This window comes from Homo sapiens, chromosome 9, assembly GCF_000001405.40.
Source record: "Homo sapiens chromosome 9, GRCh38.p14 Primary Assembly".
Taxonomy (NCBI): Eukaryota; Metazoa; Chordata; class Mammalia; order Primates; family Hominidae; genus Homo; species Homo sapiens.
Genome location: NC_000009.12, coordinates 76,384,497 through 76,406,187, shown reverse-complemented (window position 1 = coordinate 76,406,187; position 21,691 = coordinate 76,384,497). Strand labels below are relative to the sequence as shown.

Genomic DNA, 21,691 nt, shown 5'->3' with positions numbered 1-21,691 from the left:
CACTTCACCAAAGATGATATACAGATGGCAAATAAGCATATGAAAAGATGTTCCACATCATATGTCATCAGAGAAATGCAAATTACCACTCTAGGCCTATTGGAAGGGCCCAAATCCAGAACACTGACCACACCAAATGCTGGCAAGGATGTGCAGCAACAGGAGCTCTCCTTAATTGCTGGTGGGAATGCAAAATGGTATAGTCATTTTGTTACACAGTTTGGCAGTTTCCTATAAAACTAAACATACTCTTACCACATGATCCAGCAATTGTATTATTTGGTATTTACCCAAATTAATTGAAAACCTATATTCACACAAAAACCTGCAGATTGATGTTTAGAGCAGCTTTATTCAGAACTGCCAAAACTTGGAAGCAATCAAGACGTCCTTCAATAGGAGAATAGGAAAATAAACTATGATACACACAGACAATAGAATATTATTCTATGCTAAAAATAAATGAGCCATCAAGCCATGAAGACGTGGAGGAAACTTAACTGCATATTTTTAAGTGAAAGAAGCCAGTCTGAAAATGCTACATCTTTTATAATTCCAACTATGTGTCACTGTGGAAAAGGCAAAACTATGAAGACAGTTAAAAGATCAGTGGTTGTCAAGGATTAGGGGTGAGGGAGGGATGAATAAGTAAAGCACAGAGGATTTTTATGACAGTGAAAATGCTCTGTATGATACGATAATGGTGGATACAAGTCGGTATTCCTTTGTGTAAACCCATAGAATGTATAACTCCAAGAGTGAACTCTCATGTAAATTACAGACTTGGGGTGATATTACATCAATGCACATATATCAGTTGTAACATGTACATTCTAGTGCCTAGTGCAGGATGTCTATAGTGAGGAAGCCTGTGTGTGTGTGTGTGTGTGTGTGTGTGTTGAAGGTCAGGGAGTATATGGGAACTTTCTGTACTTCTCAATTTTTCTGTGAACCTAAAACTGCTTTTTAAAAAAAGTCTACTTAAAGGAAAAAAGTATTGGCAAAACAGAGCTCACTAGCTGGTTTGGCTATTTTTGTAGAACAAACCACCTCAAAATTTGATGACTTGGGTTGGGTCTGGTGGCTCATGCCTGTAATCCCAGCACTTTGGGAGGCTGAGGCGGGCAGATCATCTGAGGCCAGGAGTTTGAGACCAGCCTGGTCAACATGGCAAAACCCCATCTCTAGAAAAAGATACAAAAATTAGCCAGGCATGGTGGTGTACACGCCTGTGATCCCAGCTACTTGGGAGGCTGAGGCAGGAGAATCTTGAACCTGGAAGGTGGAGATTGCAGTGAGCTGAGGTCACGCCACTGCTCTCCAGCCTGGGCCACAGAGCAAGACTCTGTTTAAAAAAAAAAAAAAGATGACTTAAAATAATCTATTATTTCAAATTATTTTCTGGGTTGCTTGGGTCTCACCTGAGCAGTATTCCTTCCAGGAGCTCATTTGAGACTGAAATGTCCAGGATACTTCAGGCCTCTCTTCATATATCTCTTTCTCTAGAAGGGTAGCTGGACTTATATCATGCCCAGCTTCTAACAGAGAGCATTCAAAGCCTATCACAGAGTTGCTACAGTTCTCTGTAAGCACACCTTTGAAGTTACACGATATCACTTCTGCCAGATTTTATTGGTCAAATTTCACAACCAGGTCAGTTTTAGTGGGGAGAGGAAATGGGCTTCCCCTCTCAATAAAAGGAGTGAAAAATATTTGGGAGCATTTTTAATTTAGCCTACTATTTTTTATTCAGCTGGTAATAATTTTCCAATCTATACCACCACCCCACTACACACTTTTATTTTTCATCTTCTAAATATATAGTTCATGCTGACACATCAGCAGATTAGACCAATTTTCTAAGTAGCTGTATTATTTTATATATTGGACAGAAAAAAAATTCTAAAATTAAAAAAAATTCCTAAAATTTTATATCATCATTGTGAGAAAAAAGGAGGGAAACACCAGTAATTTTGAAGACAAACTGAAATAATTTTATATGTAATTACTGTTGGTAACACCTATATTTTTGCCATCACGGTCACATTCCAAAGGTATCATGAATTTGAGAGAACATAAGACAGACGGCTGTCATGGACACTAAAGAATGGTTAATTTCACTATCAGTAAATCCTGCCTTAGAAGGGGAATTACTCCGAACAGAGGTCAAAGTTCATCTCCAGAATCTCAGACATATTTACTCATTATTCTGAAAAGAGTCCAGTGTCCTAGAAAGTTTTCCTTCTTCTTCGTCTCAGAAATTTTTAGCATCTTTATCTCCTATACCATCATTGCACCAAATGTATAATTAAAAACAATTTTTTAATGGGAAAGAAGTCTGAATTCTTCTGCCTATAATTCTAGGTGCTCTTCTCCTCCTTTTTCTCTTTCTCCATTTTCTTCTTCTATAGTGAAACATATATTCAAAGGAAACATCAAAAAGCATTAACTTTCTAAATTAAGACAGTCTTTTTATCTTTTGTGATTGAGGAAGAAGATAGAATGCAGTAGCCATGCTTCACCAAAGAACCAGATCCAAGCACATGAAGCAATGAGCAGGCCAAACATTTCTGAGTACAGAATCCTCCCGTGTCTAGCACAGGGCCTGATGAACCTCATTCCCTAACTTTCATTTTCCATTTGCAGTTCTTATTTCATGTGTCACCGCAGTTCTAGGTTCATGTCAGTAAAAAGCAAAATTTTAATATGCCATCTTGTGGATGCATGAGGAATGAAATTCTTGTAGTGCTTTTGGTTTTGGTGGTGAGAATTTAACATTGCATTTGCATAGTTTTTCCCCTGTAATACAAGCAATTTTTGCTCAATGCAAAAACAAAAAACAAAAATCAAAAAGCCATACAGGAAATACACAAGGAACAGTAGGTACTCAAATATTTGTGGAGTATCGATTTTTAAAAATTAGTAATCATCACACCCTTGATTTGGAGTGGACCCTATTAAAGCAGCCAGTGAATGAATGGATGAAGGAAGGAATACCTTTTTCTAAAACATTTGATATTGTAGGTAAGCTCTTGGTTTTCAGGCCTGACCTGACATTAGAATCTAATTTTCCAGAGATATTTTTAGTGTCTCATGTGGGTAGAAGTTGACAAAATTTGGTTTACATTCCATATAGGTATAAGAATTGTTTATTAGTACTACTGACAACCTTCCATTTCCATATGTGCGGTGTATTTATTAAACAATCAGGGCTGGGCACGGTGGCTCATGCATGTAATCCCAGCACTCTGGGAGGCCGAGGCAGGCAGATCACAAGGTCAGGAGTTTGAGACCAACCTGGCCAACAGGGTGAAACCCCGTCTCTACTAAAAACACAAAAATCAGCCGGGCGTGGTGGCGCGTGCCTGTAATGCCAGCTACTCAGGAGGCTGAGGCAGGAGAATCACTTGAACCCAGGAGGTGGAGGTTGTAGTGAGCCGAGATCATGCCATTGTACTCCAGCCTGGGCAACAGAGTGAGACACTGTCTCAAAAAAAAAAAAAATCAGCCAAATAAACATTTCATTATGGGTTATTATGAGGCAGCTGCATATAGCAGACAGACCTGGAGATCACTTAACTCTTTCAGAAAAGGTGATCTTAGGTCCATTGTCAAACGGATGGACAGCTTCTCAGCATTTTGTAGACTCTCTGTTTTCTTTTGGGTTTAGTAGGTCGTAGGCTCTCAGTCTGCTTTTTTTTGGTGCAAAATAACAATGTTAGACCAGATGAGTAATTTACAATTTGTGTGCTTCAAAAGGTTCTAAATATTCAAAGCACATTTCATTTAAAAATGTCTTTTATGAATTTAGTTTTCAAAATGTTATTTTAAAATATGTTTTCTGAATTTAATATGATACAACAGTACAAACAGTGATAGGAAGCAAATTCGGATGTAGTTGAGAGTGTTGAAGGAAAACTGGATGTGTTAACCAAAAAATATGCCTCTTTGACAAAAAAATTTTTAAGCTAAGAGCAAGTGGGAGGAAGCAGATACAGGAAAGCTCTCTGCCTCTCCTCTGTTTACCTAGTGGCAGGACACAGATTTACAAAGACAAAGGTGCCCTTCTTCCCTCTGTACCCGGAAGGACAAAAGTTAACCACTGAAGACAACTGTAGCCCTCATCTGGCTGGAGATGGCACAAGAGGAATCTACGTTAATAAGCTTTGCTAAGTGGACTTCATCTATCATTATTTTGCCTTCCCACAATTTGCCACCTCCAGAGATTCAAAGTTCTTTTCCTCTGTCTTGTCCTTTCTTTAGAAATGTAGTGTGTTTTTTGTTTGTTTGTTTGAGACAGGGTCTTGCTCTGTCACCCAGGCTGGAGTGCAGTGGCATGATCATGGCTCACTGCAGCCACAACCTCCTGGGCTCAAGGGATCCTCTGGCCTCAGCCTCCCAAAGTGCTGGGATTATAGCAGTGAGTCACTGTGCTGGTCCTTAATGTTCTTTATTGAAGTTTATATAAGCTAGAGGTCTGAGTCACCTCTTTGAGAATTATTCATTCCCTGGGCATCTCCCATATACATATAAAATATACATGATAATAAACATGTTTGCTCTTGCTTTGATAATCTGTTTTTTGTTACAGGGGGTCCCTTCTAACAACGCATTAGGGGTGAGGAAAAAAATTAGTTTTCTTTCTTTACACTGTAAACTTCATTAATGTGTTCTTATTGAGTAAATTTGTACTACATGAAGTAAATTTTATGAGTTTGAACCACAAATACATTTGTGGTTATAAAATAACACTTGTTTTTATGGCATGGTGGTGTACACCTGTAGTTCCAGTTATGCAGGAGGCCAAGGCAGGCAGATGGCTTAATTCCAGGATTTCGAGGCTATAGTGTGCTATGAGCTTGCCTGTGAATAGCCACTGCACTCTAGCCTGGGCAACATAGCGAGATCCCATCTCTAAAATAAATATGTAAATACATAAATAAATAAAACATTATTTATTTTCTATATTGGGCTTTTATGTAGAATTTTACATGTCTGTTTTCCAAGGTAGAATTCTGAAGACACTTACACTCAGCCAGCTTATTTGGACTGTAGTCCAGTTATAATGAATTTTCTATAGCAGACCAACAGGTAATCATCATCATAACAGCCAATACAGAAGGCTTACTACACATTACACACTGATTTAGTTACTTCACATGCATTAAGTCTTAAATCTTTCAAATGCTTTATGAGGTGCTATGGTGATTATTTTCTCACAGACAGGAAACTGGTGTAAGAGCCAGAGTCCCCCTTACCTACTACTAAGCTCTATCACCTCTCAGTAGAGCTTAGTAGTTCTGGCTTGTTTACTGCACATCCCTTTCTTGGAAATATGATCACAGGAACTCTCCCTAGCTAGACATTTTTCTTTCCTCTTCTCTGTTTAGTCGATTCACACATGCCCCAAGGCTCCAGCTCAAGTCCCACCTCTCTGGAAGGCATTGTCAAGCATACCTGACTCACAGGGTTCCCTTGCTCTCTGGCCTACTGGTAGCATTGTCTCATGCTAGGAAGCCTGTTTATATGAAGTCCAAAGAGTGAGTTAGAGGAATTGGTAAAGTTCCCTAGGGCTTCTGGGTAGAGAATGTAGAGGCAGGAGCTGAGGAGTGTGATAGGGAGAATCTGTGAACAATGGTTTAGTTTAGACTGATCCTAAGACAGAGGGAAGCAGAACATGACTTTTAGTGTGATTTGATCAGATTGGCATTTGAAAGGTTATAGCAGCACGAAAAAGCAGTAGAGAGAGACTAGTGTCAAATCTAAGGCTGGGAGAATAGAGTTGGCTACACCTGTGCAGGTAAGGGGTCATGGCTTGCATTCAGTGGGAGGAGGGGTAAAAATGGATTGGGAGAGACTTGGTAACTATTTAGGTGTGGAAGGTGTGAACGTTGATGTCAGACTCCAAGTCAGAAATTTTTAGATTAATTATTCAAAAACTAATAGACTCTACTTTTTAGAGCAGTTTTAGGTTGGCAGCTGCTGTTGCTGTATAGTTCTATGGGTTTTGATACATGCATAATGTCATATATTCATGAGGACAGTATCATACAGAATAGTTTCACTGCCCTAAAAATCCCCTGTGCTTCACATTCATCCCTCCCTCCGACCTCCAACTTCCCCAAACCCTGGTAACCACTGATCTGTTTACTGTCTCCATAGTTTTATTCAGAATGTAATATAATTGGAATCATGTGTTATGTAGCCTTTTCAGACTGGCTTCTTTCACTTAGTAATATGCAGTTAAGTTTCCTCTAGGTCTTTTTGTGGCTTGATAGCTCATTTCTTTTTAGCACAGAATAGTATGGCATTATATGGATATACAACAGCTTGTTTATCCCACCTATTGAAGGACATCTCAGTTGCTTCCACGTTTTGGCAATTCTGAATAAAGCTGCTATAAACATCCATGTGAAACAAAATAAAAATAAAATAAAATAGAAATAAAACATCCATTCATCCATTCCATTTGCATTCAGTGGGAGTAGGGGTAAAAATGGATTGGGGTAAAAACAAATAGGTTTTTTTTTTTTTAAGAAACTGATGTTTATTTTCCATCAACCATTTTTCCATGTTGCTTAAGAGCCTATGCAAGAACAGCTTAAGACCAGTCAGTGGTTGCTCCTACCCATTCAGTGGCCTGAGCAGTGGGAGCTGCAGACCAGTCTTCCGTGGCAGGCTGAGCGCTCCAGTCTTCAGTAGGGAACTGCTGAATAGGCACAGAGGGCACCTGTACACCTTCAGACCAGTCTGCAACCTCAGGCTGAGTAGCAGTGAACTCAGGAGCTGGAGCAGTCCATTCACCCTGAAATTCCTCCTTGGTCACTGCCTTTTCAGCAGCAGCCTGCTCTTCTTTTTCAATATCTTCAGGATCTCTGTAGAAGTAGAGATCAGGCATGACCTCCCACGGGTGGTCATAGGAAATCGTGCTACACATGCGCAGAACTTCCCGAGCCAGCATCTACCACATCAAACCCACTGAGTGAGCTCCCTTGTTGTTGCATGGGATGGCAATGTCCACATAGCGCATAGGAGAATCTGTGTTACACAGAGCAATGGTAGGTAGGTTAACATAAGATGCCTCCGTGAGAGGCTGGTGGTCAGCCCTGGGGTCAGTAACCACAAGAAGCCATGGCTCCCGGAAGGCTGCCTGGATCTGGTTAGTGAAGGTTCCAGGAGTGAAGTGGCCAGCAATTGGAGTGGCTCCAGTGGCAGCAGCAAACTTCAGCACAGCCCTCTGGCCAGTATTCCTGGAGGATATAACACTGACATCAGCAGGGTTTTCAATGGCAACAATAGCACTAGCTGCCAGCAGAAGCTTCTCCCAGGTCCTCTTCAGATTTATGATATAGATGCCATTACTTTTCCTTTTACAGATGTACTGTTCCATCTGGAAGTCAAGATTGGTGCCACCTAAGTGGGTTCCTGCTGCAAGGAACTTAAGGACATCCTCCTCCTTCATTTGCAGGACATCAAGGGCTCCGGACATTGTGAAAGTTTCCCTTTAAGTTACGACGGGAATCCAGAACAACGCCGTATGGGCCCCTCTGTAGGTAGCGCGGAAAGCAAAAACAAATAGGTTTTTGTGTGGATAAAAGTTTTCACCTCATTTGATTAAATATAAGTGAGCACAATTTCTGGATAACATAGTAAAAGTACGTTTAGTTTTATAAGAAACTGCCATATTATCTTCCAAGGGGCTGTACCATTTTGTATTCCCACCAACAATGAATGAAAGTTCCTGTTGCTCTACATGGTTGCCAGCATTTGGTGTTGTCAGTGTTCTGAATTTTGGCCATTCTAATTGGTATATAGTAGTATCTCATTGTTGTTTTAATTTGTATTTCCCTCACGATATATGATGTTGAACATCTTTTCATATGCTTATTCAGATCTTTTGCTCATTTTTTAATTGAGTTGCTTATTTTCTTATTGCTGAATTTTAAGAATTCTTCAGATTCATTTTTCATTGCTTACTTAGAATAAGCCTTCTTTTCCCTCACAAGCTGCCAGTTCTACTTTCTCTTTAGTCTTATTTGTGATCCTTCTTTCTACAGAGACAAATTAAACCAGAGAAGTGGACTCTTTCCCTACAGGCAGCTGAAAGGATGTGCAAGTGCAGTTCAGAGGGGGAAATAAAAAACACGTTTTAGAATACTTCCTTGGTTAAAAGCAGTAAGTTTGGCAAAGACACATAGACTCTCAACTCTAGATTTACTGAGAATGCTAGGTAGCATATTTTTGGAGTCAAATGAAGAAGAAAAATTATAAATCCTATAGCCTACAGAATAATTATTGAATTATTTGAAGCATATGCTTTGGCCTCTGAAGCAAGGTGGAGGGGTCTGCTTTGATCAACAGATTGAGTACTTGATGGGAGTTCTTAGAAGTACAACTCTTGGAGGGTTTATTCTTCAGTCAGAGGGGAGGAGCCATTGAACGCTATTGAGCGGTGGTGGAAAATGATCAGAATTCTTCCTTCTTGGGAGGCCGAGGAAGGTGGATCACTTGAAGCCAGGAGTTCCAGAACAGCCTGGCCAACATGATGAAACCCTGTCTCTATTAAAAATGCAAAAATTAGCCGGGCGTGGTGGCATAAACCTGTAGTCCCAGCTACTCGGGAGGCTGAGGCAGGAGAATCACTTGAGCCCGGGAGGTGGAGGTTGCAGTGAGCCGAGATTGCGCCACTGCACTCCAACCTGAGTGACAGAGTGAGACTCTGGTTCAAAAAAAAAAAAAAAAATTCTTTCTTCTATATCCTATGCTGATAACACAGTAATTACCCATATGACTTGACATGTAAATGGTAGTTTTAAAGATTGGAGCCTGACTGCTCCATCTTAAACATTCTACAAGACTCTCCTTTTTTTTTTTAAATCTATCTATTTATTTATGTATTATTTATTGAGAAGGAATCTTGCTCTGTCACTCAGGCTGGAGTACAATGGAGCAATCTCGGCTCATAGCAACCTCCGCCTCCTGGGTTCAAGCGATTCTTCCGCCCCAGTCTCCCGAGTAGCTGGGATTACTGGCATTCACTGCCATGCCTGGCTAATTTTTGTATTTTTAGTAGAGACCGAGTTTTGCCATGTTGTCCAGGCTGGTATTGAACTCCTGGCCTCAGGTGATCCACCTGCCTCGGTCTCCCAAAGTGCTGGGATTACAGGCAAGAGCCACTGCGCCCGGCCTATTTATTTTTTTAGTGACCGTGTCTTGCTTTGTCATTAGGCTGGAGTGCAGTGGTTCAATCACAGCTCACTGCTGCCTCAAATTCTGGGGCTCAGGCGATCCTCACTCCTCAGTTTCCCAAGTAGCTGGGGCTATAGGCACGAGCCACCACCACCTGGCTGAGACAGAGTCTCGCTCTGTTGCCCCATATGGAGTGCAGTGGCGTGATCTCCAGCTCACTGCAACTGCCGCCAGGTTCGAGCGACTCTTGTGCCTCGGCCTCCAGGGTATCTAGGACCACAGGTGAGCGCCACCACTCCCGGCTAATTTTTGTATTTTTTGTAGAGACGGGGTTTCACCATGTTGCCCAGGCTGGTCTCCAACTCCTGAGCTCAAGTGATCCACCGGCCTCAGCCTCCCAAAGTGCTGGGATTACAGGCATGAGCCACTGTGCCAGGCCCTGGCTGATTTTTAAAATTTTCTTTCTTATTTTCTCCTCTTCTTTTCTTTCCCCTTTCTTCTTTTTTTTCTTGTTTCTTTTCTTTTCTTTCTTTTTTCTCTCTTTCTTACTTATTTTTATTTTAAAATTTTTGGATAGACGGAAGTCTCCCTATTTTGCCCAGGCTGGTCTTGAACTCCTCAGCTCAAGAGATCCGCTCACCTCGGTCTCCCAGAGTGCTGGGATTACAGGCGTAAGCCACCATGCCCCGCCCATTTTTATACGTTTAGGTTAATGCTTTCCAACAAAGCTGATGAGAGGATTACATGAGACAGTGTGAAAAATACTTAGCATTTTCTCTATTCTTAAAACCACCCCTCCTCATTTACCTCCTATGATTCATTTAATTATTTTATCTCATTTAATTCTCATACCTTCTTGCAACCTAGGGCTTAGTGGCGTAAGACCCAGGGATGATTTATCAAGTTCTCACCTCCAGGCTTTTCTTATTAGGTGTATCACTGCTGATGAAGTTAAAAATATACCATTCTTGCATATTGACTATTTTGAATTAAAAGCACTTGAAAAACAATAGATACAAAAAAATCATTCTGACCTCTTTTCTGTTTCTTAGAAGCAGATGAAATTACCATATGAGAGACATCCTCCCTATATTAGAAGGAATGCAGCACTCTTATTAAGGACGGGAGTCAAGAGTGAGAGAATCCTGTACACACCTTGCTAAAATAACTCTTAAGCCTCTCCAGATAACTTAATTGCTTTTCACAACTTGCTATTACTACTCTTACTACCGGTATTACTATTATCGTTATTCTCATTATTCTTTGTTTAATTCCGTATAGATAAGTAACTGACCATAATTGCTTCTTTGGGTCCTTCTCTCCCTTCCCTTCCCTTTTCTTCCCTTTCACTTTCCCTTCCCCTTTCCTTTCCCTTCCCTCCCTTCCTTCTTCTTCTCTAGTTCTTTTAAGGGGTGAGGGTGTCTCACTGTGTCGCCCAGTCTGGAGTGCAGTGGCGTTATCATAGCTCAGTGCAGCCTCGACCTCCTGGGCTCAATCAATCCTCCCGCGTCGGCCTCTCAAACTACTGGGAATACAGGCGTGAGCCACCAAGCCTGGCCTAGAACATAAATTTAATATCAGGTAAATCTTATCAGAGATGCATACATGTAAGGTAGAAAGAGACTACACGGTCTGCACAGAATTTTATACAAATGTATAGAGCAAAAAAGAAAAAAATTAAACTTCTCTGGATTCCATTGATTAAAAATTTAAAAAAATAAATAAAAAACTTCTTTGTCTTCGAGACGTTAAGAGGATGCACCTTCTTATAACCTTGCACCCTGCATATCCTGTGAGTGAGCCCAGAGCTACTTCCCTAGGAGCGTGCGTATTTACAGTTCCGAGGGTACGAAGGCCTCTATCTGCATTGCAGTAGAGGGACGGCCTGTTATCGGGCTTGTGAAATTGTCAAGAAGACAGCCTGGAGGGGACAGTCACCGCCCATGTCGGTAACCTTCCACTAGTCTCTGGGGTTAACAGCGTCACAGACAGGGACTTCTCCCTTGGAGCTTACATTCGAATATATTAATAACTCCAGAACGTGGTCAGTGGTCCTGGAGGACGACCGCTTCTGGTAGGGCGGCCAGGAAAAGCCTCTGTGAAGAGGCGATCTTTGAGCTGAATTTTGGAGCTTTAATAAATACTTAAAGAGCGAACGGAACGAGCGATGCCTGACGTTCAACCCAGCGGTTGCCAAGGAGCTAAAGAGCGTCTCACTTTGGCTTCCGGATTGTTATGAACAGGAGGAAGGAGAAAAAAAAACCAGAATTGTTCGAGAATTGTGCTTTCGCGGCTCTCAGGCTGAAAACGGGGTTTCCACATTAGTTCCCATCGCCAGGGGCTGAAACGAAGCCCGGGATCCAGACATTAGGCGCCTGGGGCGGGAGCCTGCAGCGGGAGCTTGCGGCGGGAGCCGGGCGAGGCAGCGGCGGGGCGGGGCCATGATGGGGCGGGGCTACGGAAGCCGAGCGGGCTCGAGGCGTTCGGCTGAGGAAGGGAGCGCACGCCGGCGGCGCGGAGGCCGGCTCTGCGCTTCGGGCCGCCCCCTCCCCCCACCCCGCTCACACCCGGCACTTACTTCGGCTGTCTCCGCTGCCCTCCAGCGGAGACGCAGCTCCTCAGGCGCCCGGCGGTATTTGTTGGGTCGGCGGCGTCAGGGATTCGCAGTGGCCTGTGGTCGGCGTCGTCCGGCCACTGGTGCGCCCCCGCGGCAGGCAGAGCTCACGCTCCTGTCCCCCGGCTGGTCCGGGGTCTGGGCGCCGCGTCGACGGCGGCTCCGCAGGACGCGCAGACCGGGCCGCAGCCCATTCCCCGAGCGGACTGCATTATGAGGCACCTGCCTTACTTCTGCCGGGGTCAAGTGGTGCGGGGCTTCGGCCGCGGCTCCAAGCAGCTGGGCATCCCCACAGGTGAGAGCAGGGCGGCCAGAGTCCCCCGGGCCGGGTCACGTGGGGAGCGGGGAGAGACGGCAGCCGGGGACTTGGGACCGGGGCGTGGGGCCTCCGGACCGCGGGCAGAGAGCACACCCTTCCTCCTCCCGCATCCCCTTGTCTGTGGCGGAGGACCGTTGGCTCGGTTGAGGGAGCTTGTCCCTGCTTCTGGCTCCGAGCTCCGCGGGGACGGGGTTGAGGGGTGGTGAGGGCCGGAAGCCCGAGATGAATCGCAGGATTCCCCGTTCACGCCTCCTTGGCCAGCCAAGGTACAGTTGGTCAAGCATTGCGCTTGTCTTGCCCATTAGAGACGTAACGTGGGCCAGAACGGCTGAACTCGCAAGCCGGGTCTAAGGTGGTTTTGTTTTTAATTTGTAATTATGTAATGTCCAAATGATAACATAGGTAGTTGAATGAGAGTCAGCTAACCTTCTTGGTCTGTCTACATTAATTTCAATAATCGAGACCTGACTGTAATTCATCCTTAGAAATACATGCCAGAGCTGCGTCTTGACTTGTTAAGTCAGCCTTGAGCTTGTGTATTTGAAAAATAAGAAGCTTTGGCCGGGCGTGGTGGCTCACGCCTGTAATCCCAGCACTTTGGGAGGCCGAGGCGGGCGGATCATCTGAGCTCAGGAGTTCGAGATCAGCCTGGCCAACATGGTAAAACCCCGTCTCTGCTAAAAATACAAAAATTAGCTGGGCATGGTGGCGCGTGCCTGTCATCCCAGCTACTCGGGAACCTGAGGCAGGAGAATCGCTTGAACCCAGGAGACGGAGGCTGCAGTGAGGCGAGATCGTGCCACTGCCCTCCAGCCTGGGCGACAGAGTGAGACACCGTCTCAAAAAAAAAAAAAAAAGAAAGAAACTTTTCAGGTGATTCAGTACCTGGTTAGGAAAGAACAGATCTGAAAAAATCCATCTACTCTGGTACTTGTTTTTTGCATCCTACTCAAAGAGTATGGATTTTTTTGGAGAGCTTTATATACTTACCTGGTACTTTATTCATAACCTATTCACATGAATAGGAGAGGGAAATCTGAGCCGGAAAATGGAAGGATGGGATTGATACTTACAGGCAAAGTTGTAGGAGTCTTGTGAATGTAATGATTTACATTAGCCTTGCATGTGATTTTTACAAATGTTTGTTTCTTATTATTATTTTGAGACAGAATCTGGCTCTGCCACTCAGGCTGGAGTGCAGTGGTAGTGCGATCATAGCTTACTGCAGCCTCCATCTGCTGGGCTCAACTGACCCTCCTGCCTCAGCCTCTCTGGTAGCTTAGACTATAGGTGCAGGCCACCATCCCCAGCTAATTTTTTAATAGAGGTAAGATCTCACTATGTTACCCGGGCCGGTCTCAAACCCCAGAGCTCAACATGAGCCTCCTGCCTTGGCCTCTCAAAGTCCTAGAATTACAGACATGAGCCACTGCACTCGGCTACAGGCATTTAATACGAAATTTGTAAGACTCAAAATATTTTCTTCTGTTGTTTAGCTAATTTTCCTGAGCAAGTGGTAGATAATCTTCCAGCTGATATATCCACTGGTATTTACTATGGTTGGGCCAGTGTTGGAAGTGGAGATGTCCATAAGATGGTGGTGAGCATAGGATGGAACCCATATTACAAGAATACGAAGAAGTCTATGGTAAGCATTATATTTTGCTCTGTAACCGAAAATGGTATGATGACTTAGAATAATATATTACAGTATTCGTTACAGAAATAGCTTATCAGTGGTAATCACAACGTAGTTCAAATACTGGAATTTTGGGCAATCTCTGTCTTTTAATTGGAGAGTTTAATTCATTTACATTTAAAGTAATTTCTGATAAGGAGGGACATCTACTGTTTTGCTATTTGTTTTTTATATGCCTTATAACTTTTATGTCCCTCATTTCCTCTATTACTGCCTTTTGTGGTAGTGTGCTTTTTGTTTTGTTTTGTTTTGTAGTGACATTTTAATTCCTTTCTCATTGCTTTCTGTGTATTTCTATAGATACTGTCTTTGTGGTTACCATGGGGTTTATATTTAACATCCTGAAATTCTAAAAGTTTAATTTGAGTTTATACCAACTTAATTTCAATAGCATACAGAACTCAGAAATTGCATCTTTTTTTTTTTTTTTAAAGATGGGGTCTCACTATGTTGCCCAGACTGAAGTGCAGTAGCTGTTCACAGGCCAGGTTGTAGCACACTGTAGCTTCAAACTCATGGGCTCAAGTAATCCTCCTCCAGCCTCCAGAGAGCTGGGACTATAGGTACATGCCACTGCCTGCATCTGGCTCAGATTACATCCTTATACATTGTGGTACCCAATAACAAAGATTAATAATTGGTTTTTTTATGCATTTATTTTTTAAATTATGTAGAAAATAAAGAGTGGAGTTACAAACCAAAATTATAATACTGACTTTGATAATTGCTGTCTGTGAAAGACTCACTTGACCAAAGATAAAAATGATTTAAAAGCCTGTTTCATAAAATTGAGCTTGCCACAATTAATGCACTTCATTCACCATTTACTTCATGCATCAATTGCGCTTGGTCACCCTCTTAAGATAAAACAGTTTACTACATGGATGGTGGATGGAGGATGGTGCTTATTGATACAGTCCCACATTGGTGCTTTTCTCTTTCCTTTTTAAACCACCTGAGGGTATACTTTTCTGCCCTACTCTTTACAGGACCCCACAACTTCAGTGTTTTATCTGTTAGATTTGGCTGAATCTTTTGTCAGCTCAAATGTGTGGCAAAAACAAATTACAGTGAAGCTAAATTTTGTTCTGTGTGGAGTTAATAGAAGTGAAGTGTGTCACTGCTGGAAAACTACAGAGCTAAATGCTGGCGTAAGCAATAGTAATGACGCAGAAGTACTTAACATTTTGCTCAGTATTTCAGTTATTTTTCAGTATTAATGATTTGAAAATTATTTTTTGGAGACAAGGAAAACAATCGAAAGATCACAAAATACCATTCTGTTGAATGAGGAAGGAAAAGAAGGGGAGGGGACAATAGCCCATAACTAATTTGTCTTTAGCTACTTAGATAACAAAAATGTTATTATACAGCCAGTTAAGGAATGCCTTTTGAGTGTTAGGAAAAATTGAATTTGAAACATAGGCATATCTTACCAGTGGAAAATTGAACTTTTGCTTGCCTTTGCCAGTAACACACATCTGTGAAGTGCCTGTGCCAGACCTTTGTCCTTTAAAAAAAAAAAAAGCGTTATCTTACTGACCTTAAATAAGTTCTTAGTAACACATCTAGATCCACTTCCTTTGTTGGAACTGTGTATTGTTGTATTACAAATTTCTTTCATTGTGTGTGTGTGTGTGGTTTTTTTTTTTTTTTTCTCAATGGTGTGTTGAAGAACAGAGTTTTGTTTTGTTTTGTATTTTCAGATAGGGTCTTGCTCTGTCACCCAGGCTGCAGTGCAGTGGTGCAATCTCAGCTCACTGCAGCCTCAACTTTCTGGGCTGAAGTGATCCTCCCATCACAGCCTCCCGAGTAGCTAGGACCACAGGCATGTGCCACCATGCTTGGCTATTTTTAAATTTTTTTATAGAGATGAGATTTCAGCATGTTACACAGACTGGTCTCAAACTTTTGGGCTCAAGCAGTCCTCCTGCCTCAGCCTCCCAAAGTGCCAGGATTACAGGCATGAGCATGGCACCCAGCCCAGAGGTTCTTAATTTTAATACAATCCAGTTCAATATTTTTTTTATAGTTAGTGCTTTATATAATCTGTTTCAGAAATCTTTGACTACTCCAAAGTCATGAAGATACTTGTCTGTGGTTTTTTTCTAAAAGTTTAATTGACTGACATATCTTCAAATTGACTTTTTTAGTATGGTATCTGATAGGGATTTAAATTAATATTTTTTTCCATATGGATGTAGAATTGACCCAGCCTATTCATTGAAAATACCATGCTTTCACAACAGTGCTGTAGTGTCACCTGGGACATAAATCAAGTGACCTTATATGTGTGTGAGTCCAAAAATTCACATACATACTTGGTTTGCTTGTCTTATCATAGGTCTTGATACCTAGTTGTATAAGCCCTCTAGTTTTGTTCTCAAGATTTTCATGAATAATTTTGGTTTTTCCATATAAATTTTAGAATCACTTGTCAGTTTCTCCTATTTTAAAAAACCTGCTAGGATTTTGATTGGGGCAGCATTGAATTCGTAGATTACTTTGGGAAGTTTGCCATTTCTCTCAATAATGTCTTGTAATTGTCAGTGTCAGGGTCTTACATATTTTTTAAAATTATTTTTAAATTTTTTTTTGAGATGGAGTCTTCGCTCTGTCGCCAAGGCTAGAGTGCTGGAGTGCAGTGGTGTGATCTTGGCTCACTGCAACCTCCGCCTCCTGGGTTTGAGCAATTCTCCTGCCTCAGCCTCCTGAGTAGCTGGGACTATAGGCATGCGCCACCATGCCCAGCTAATTTTTGTGTTTTTAGTAGAGTACCGGGTTCCACCATGTTGGCCAAGCTGGTCTTGAACTCTTGACCTCAAGTGATCCTCCTGGCTCCGCCTCCCAAAGTGCTGGGATTACAGGCATGAACTACTGCACCCAACCAGTCTTACATATCTTAGTTTCTTTTTTATTATTCAAATGTTTACTGAAAAGAAAGAATATATTGGTTCATAGCCCCAAAGTCATGGGGCACTTTATGTATCTTCTAACTCAAGCCGCCCCCCACCCATTACAGACGAGAAAACTGAGCCCCGCGGAAGCTAGTTATACAGTTAACCAAGTGTGGGAACCCAGACTTTTGACTCTAAGTCAGTGCTCTTAACCTCTTAACCACAGTACTGCCCAGATGATTTAGCTGAACTAGATTCTGAGGCACTTTCTACGTCATGCGGCATTTTGCTTTAATGTGCTGTGTACCCTTTTGCCACTTTACTCCCTGATCAGGAAGCTGCATTGGCTCTCCTGCCCCTTCAGTCCTCAGCTCTGCCAAACTCTGAAGTTTCCATACATGTTGTGTGTCAGACGTGTGCAAATGCTGACTGACCTTAACAACTAGTTGTTTAGTAGTAACATCTTTTAATACTTTGCTCATTCCCTCTTTGGTGTCCTGTTTTCTCACCTTGATAAGATACTTACTTCCTTGGATACGTGTCAGTTTTTTTGTTATTGTTTGTTTGTTTGTTTTTAAGTAACAGCAAATCATGCCAGACACTGTCACCTCACTCAGTTAGGTTTATAAGATCCAAACAGGAGTGCTGGGAAAATTTAGGAAAAACTGCACTTAGATTTTAACCTGAATCTTTAAAAGTTTAAGGAGTGTTGATTGTTTCATTTAAATTAACTCACCATAAACATGAAGATGTATTTCAGATTTCAGTACACTGTAGTCTGATAGCACTCTTTGTAACATTTCTTGACTATAGGAAACACATATCATGCATACCTTCAAAGAGGACTTCTATGGGGAAATCCTCAATGTGGCCATTGTTGGCTACCTGAGACCAGAAAAGAACTTTGATTCTTTAGGTAAGTTCTTATTTTGATCTTCTTAAATACTACTACTGCTACCACAGGTAACTCTACCACTACTACCAGTAATAATGATGGCAGGACAGATAATATTTGAGCATTTAATATATGCCAGGCACCGTTTTAAGTGCTTTACGTGAATCTATCTTCTTTCACCTGTGAGGGATTATTTTGCCTATTTCTCAGATGAGGAAATGGCACAGAGAGATTAAGTAACATTCTCAAAGTCACATAGTAAATAACGGAGTCTAGCTTTGAACCTAGCAGGCTGGCTGCTTCTCTCCAGCGGTATGAAGTTAATGAAATCTTTCAAAATGTGTGAAGTTTGAGATATAGTAAATCAGAGAACATTTGAAACATGTTACCAGGTATGTATTAGTGTAGTGTGATAGTTTTAACTCTGTTATAAAGTTTCTTTTACAAGTGTAAATACCAACCAAAAATAATAGTGAATGCTTTTTTCCTCCATTTGATATTTGCAGTGTACATTTATGCCTATGCCTTTCTCTTAAAATATAAGATTAGGGACATACCTTTGTTTGTTTGTTTGTTTGAGACAGAGTTTTGCTCTTTGTTACCCAGGCTGGAGTGCAGTGACGCCCCCTCTCACCGCAACCTCCACCTCCCAGGTTCAAGCGATTCTCCTGCCTCAGCTTCCTGAGTAGCTGGGATTACAGGCACCCACCATCACACCCCGCTAATTTTTGTAGTTTTAGTAGAGTCAGGTTTCACCATGCTGGCCAGGCTGGTCTCGAACTCCGGACTTCAGGTGATCTGCCCGCCTCAGCTTCCCAAAGTGCTGGGATTACAGGCATGAGCCACTGCCCCCGGCCTAGGGACATATCTTTTGTGTACCATTGACTTAGGCCTGGAAGGAGTGATGGAACAAACATTTATTGGGTATCTACCCTGTGCAGAGATACTGCCAGCCTGTGAGTTTTTAGGATTGGCTAAACAGAGTAGTAGTAAAAAGTATGTTAATGGTTTTTCATCATTTTTACCTGGTATATTCTCTCTGCAGAGTCACTTATTTCAGCAATTCAAGGTGATATTGAAGAAGCTAAGAAACGACTAGAGTTACCAGAACATTTGAAAATCAAAGAAGACAATTTCTTCCAGGTTTCTAAAAGCAAAATAATGAATGGCCACTGATGAAAAATTGTATTATTTATTCATTCACTGTTTTCTAGTGTTTCTGTGTTTATTACTGTTCAGCATCATCTTGGTTATATACTGAAAATCAAACACTTTACTACAGTTGTGAATTAGTTTAAACCGTACAATGTTGTTATCATATCATGCTTCAACTATTAAATTAAGCCCATCATATCATAGCACTAAAAAGATTGAGTTAAAAATAAGATTTAAAAAATATATATTGATTAAAATGTACCACTAGAAAGGTATTACATGTGTATAAGTATGGGTAAAAAGGCAAGTCACTAGTTTGAGATGAAAACTAAAATTTTCATGGTAAAATGCCAGCATGTATGTACTTGTGTAGTGTGTACTTCTAAACAGAGAAGGCTTATAAAAGTAAATGCATTAAGGCCAAGTGCAGTGGCTCACACCGGTAATCCCAGCACTTTGGGAGGCCGAGGTGGGAGGATTGCTTGAGCTCATGAGTTCAAGACCAGCCTGGGCAACATAGCGAGACTCCATCTCTATAAATAAAAAAAAAGGAAATGCATTAAATAGAAGGTTGATAGTTTATCATAAACCTGCGGGGAAGAAACTCAGACTTTCTATTTTTGATATTTTGTGCATTAATACATTACAAACATGAAGATGTTTGTAAAGTTTTGTTTTAGTCATTTTCTTTGCAGTCACATCATTGTACCACCTTCATTATTGTATAGAGCTGCTTCAATTCTGAGTCCTCTGGACTTCCCCTGCCTATCTGTTTGTTGTTGTTGTTGAAGACAGTAAAATAAGTGTTTTCAAATCTATATGTCTCCTTTTTGTTGGATAATGTTTCTTCTTTTTAATGGTAAATATTCTTGTTCTTCAACATTTTTCTTTGGTTCTTTTTTCCTTTTTTAGGAAAAACAAAACAACAGACTTCATCCTTAGGTTTTCTCAAGATTTAAGTGAACACATTTACACATATCAATTTCTTAAAGAACACAAAATGTTTCCTCCCTAGCAAAACTATTTAAGAGCCAATTAAACTATGAAATAGTTATAAAATTATTTTTAATATTTAAGGCCTTGAAATTATATTCCAAGGCAAATCTAAATGGGTGTAGTTGTATATGCACGATGTAATTTAATGCTAAAGAGTACTTACAGCTTGAGGGAAAAGCATAAAGTTTTAGTTAAATAGCCTTCATACTGTGGATTTTTCCTCCTACTAACTAATATGTGGGAAATTAAGATTACAGATGCTTTGGGCCCCCTCAAACAGTACATTGCTACAGTTCACTGTAGCAACAGATTTGGTGGTGATGGGGGGATAGAGGTAGAAGCAGATAGAAGGTAATTTTAAAGTTAATTTATTATGAATCATTTTCCCCTAATCTGCATAAATGAATTAGAACTGATTTTAATAAAAATATTCTGTGTAAAAAGTACTCAGAAAAACATCTAAAGCTGTTGGAGAAGAGGGACTCATATAAATAGTTGGATTGCGTTTTGCTTTTTATTTCTTTATAAAAATATGTCAAAAACAGTTTTTAATTTTAGAAATCTTATACTTGAAAGAAACCTCAATTATCAGTGGCTTTATGAAGTAAAGTTAAAAACAAACATAGGAAATGTGAAAATATTTGTGTTTGTTTTGTCTGACTAACTTGCTGCTAAATGCTATCTTTAGGTGTGTGAAAGTTCTTTGATATGTTATTGTCCTTTTACATCTTGTTAAATAGCCATTGCTTTTGAGAATCAGATAGTGTGTTGTTTAGGGGTTAATTGTGTCTATATCTTTCAAAAACTTTTATATTATGTATTATAAGAAGTTACAGTAGTACCATTTTGATTAGTCTGAATGTTTTCAGGCCTTGAAATAAATTTTGACTAAGTGATATTTTTTCTTTCCCTGTGTCAGCTTGAATCTTACTTTATGTATTTCGAATTTGTTGGCTGATTGCTACTCTTAAGTGTGTGAAGTTGCCTGAAGAGCAAGATATAGGTGGCAGCTGTAGTTCTACAACAAAGGGCCTTGCCTTCAGGATCCCCTGTGTTTTATGCCTGCAACACAGTGACTGAGGTTTATTTGGAGAGCAATCACAGGGCATCACTACTAAAGTCCACTTCCTGAGAGTAAGGGTTCCTGTTACATTTTGGAGATAGAAGAGCCAGAAGAGTATAGATAGGTCTGGGTTCCCTTGCATAACTCCTGCCCCAAAACAGAGTTCTGTAACCTTCTTGTCTTTTGCCACCAACCCCATAAGCAGCAACTTAGAACTCGTTTGCCTTTCTCTGTTGCATGCTGGTACTCTTTGAACAGTCATCCCCAGAACTCTCATCTTCCTCAACTATGGAGGCTTACAGCCTGCAGTTAGAGCTTACCATGAAACATGATTCTGATTGGGAGATGGAAGTGGAAGTCTGGTCTTCAGAGATGGAGCCAAGAAACTAACCTATTCTGCCAAAAAAGATGCCAGAAACAAATTGTAAAATAAGCTCTACAGAGATGGCAGATCCAGGGTTATCAGATATAGAATTTGAAATGACTGTTTAATATGTGTAATGAAGTAAAAGAGTAACAAAAATGGTAAAATGGCAAGGTGTTGTATAAAAATTGGGCAGCTGGGTGCTGTGGCATGTGCCTATAATCCTAGCTATTTGGGAGGCTGAAGCAGGAGGATTACTTGAGGCCAGAAATTCAAGGCTGTAGTGTGCTGTTATGGGTACTTGTAAGTAGCCACTGCACTCCAGCCTGGGCAACATAGTAAGATCCTGTCTCTATTAACATTTAAAGTAAAGTAAAAATTGGGCAGATAATTGAGAATTGTCCGAAATATATAGTTATAAAGAAAAATTGAAATTAAAAAGTCAATGGATGGGTTAAATACATATTAAACAACAAGAGAATTGGTGAACTATGAGACTT

At 41.1% G+C, this 21,691-nt stretch overlaps 2 protein-coding genes and 1 pseudogene across 6 annotated transcripts in view, besides 9 other annotated features; 1 reads left to right on the top strand and 2 right to left on the bottom strand.

Moving 5' to 3' along the window:
- Positions 1-12,319, bottom strand: part of GCNT1 (glucosaminyl (N-acetyl) transferase 1) — a 113,548-nt gene extending 101,229 nt beyond the window's left edge. For 2 of the 4 annotated variants that reach the window (NM_001407181.1, NM_001407182.1), the window contains exons 1-2: positions 11,768-12,319; positions 10,617-10,747 (exon numbers count right to left, since the gene is read on the bottom strand). The gene's annotated coding sequence lies outside the window, so the exon portion shown is untranslated. Of the gene's footprint in view, positions 1-10,616; positions 10,748-11,203; positions 11,336-11,767 lie in introns of those variants that run through there. The other 2 variants (NM_001407184.1, NM_001407183.1) reach the window with 2 other exon arrangements.
- Positions 3,921-4,215: an enhancer, noted in NCBI's record as "tiled region #2310; HepG2 Activating DNase matched - State 5:Enh". NCBI's record gives its function as "activates a minimal TATA promoter and a strong SV40 promoter by Sharpr-MPRA in HepG2 cells {active_cell/tissue: HepG2}" and the evidence as "EXISTENCE:reporter gene assay evidence [ECO:0000049][PMID:27701403]".
- On the bottom strand, positions 6,150-7,589 carry RPSAP9 (ribosomal protein SA pseudogene 9; annotated as a pseudogene). The gene has a single exon (NR_026890.1). The product of NR_026890.1 is annotated as a ribosomal protein SA pseudogene 9 (transcript).
- Positions 11,104-11,343: an enhancer, noted in NCBI's record as "active region_28471". NCBI's record gives its function as "activates an Ori minimal core promoter by ATAC-STARR-seq in GM12878 lymphoblastoid cells {active_cell/tissue: GM12878}" and the evidence as "EXISTENCE:reporter gene assay evidence [ECO:0000049][PMID:35858748]".
- Positions 11,521-11,815: an enhancer, noted in NCBI's record as "tiled region #10; HepG2 Activating DNase unmatched - State 1:Tss, and K562 Activating non-DNase unmatched - State 1:Tss". NCBI's record gives its function as "activates a minimal TATA promoter and a strong SV40 promoter by Sharpr-MPRA in HepG2 and K562 cells {active_cell/tissue: HepG2 | K562}" and the evidence as "EXISTENCE:reporter gene assay evidence [ECO:0000049][PMID:27701403]".
- Positions 11,521-12,491: a biological region, named in NCBI's record as "Sharpr-MPRA regulatory region 10".
- Positions 11,624-11,683: a silencer, noted in NCBI's record as "silent region_19959". NCBI's record gives its function as "represses an Ori minimal core promoter by ATAC-STARR-seq in GM12878 lymphoblastoid cells {active_cell/tissue: GM12878}" and the evidence as "EXISTENCE:reporter gene assay evidence [ECO:0000049][PMID:35858748]".
- Positions 11,678-12,491: an enhancer, noted in NCBI's record as "H3K27ac-H3K4me1 hESC enhancer chr9:79008613-79009426 (GRCh37/hg19 assembly coordinates)". NCBI's record gives its function as "activates a minimal SCP1, AML or CMV promoter by ChIP-STARR-seq in naive and primed H9 embryonic stem cells {active_cell/tissue: H9 hESC(naive and primed)}" and the evidence as "EXISTENCE:reporter gene assay evidence [ECO:0000049][PMID:30033119]".
- Positions 11,704-11,783: a silencer, noted in NCBI's record as "silent region_19958". NCBI's record gives its function as "represses an Ori minimal core promoter by ATAC-STARR-seq in GM12878 lymphoblastoid cells {active_cell/tissue: GM12878}" and the evidence as "EXISTENCE:reporter gene assay evidence [ECO:0000049][PMID:35858748]".
- Positions 11,762-20,662, top strand: RFK (riboflavin kinase). Its single transcript, NM_018339.6, has 4 exons — positions 11,762-12,098; positions 13,619-13,770; positions 17,532-17,634; positions 18,659-20,662. The coding sequence occupies exons 1-4, from the start codon at positions 12,017-12,019 to the stop codon at positions 18,787-18,789; spliced, it is 468 nt and encodes a 155-aa protein (NP_060809.3). The 5' UTR covers positions 11,762-12,016; the 3' UTR covers positions 18,790-20,662.
- Positions 11,824-12,313: a silencer, noted in NCBI's record as "silent region_19957". NCBI's record gives its function as "represses an Ori minimal core promoter by ATAC-STARR-seq in GM12878 lymphoblastoid cells {active_cell/tissue: GM12878}" and the evidence as "EXISTENCE:reporter gene assay evidence [ECO:0000049][PMID:35858748]".
- Positions 16,841-17,135: a silencer, noted in NCBI's record as "tiled region #15545; K562 Repressive non-DNase unmatched - State 15:Elon". NCBI's record gives its function as "represses a minimal TATA promoter and a strong SV40 promoter by Sharpr-MPRA in K562 cells {active_cell/tissue: K562}" and the evidence as "EXISTENCE:reporter gene assay evidence [ECO:0000049][PMID:27701403]".
- Positions 20,663-21,691: the final 1,029 nt, after the last annotated feature.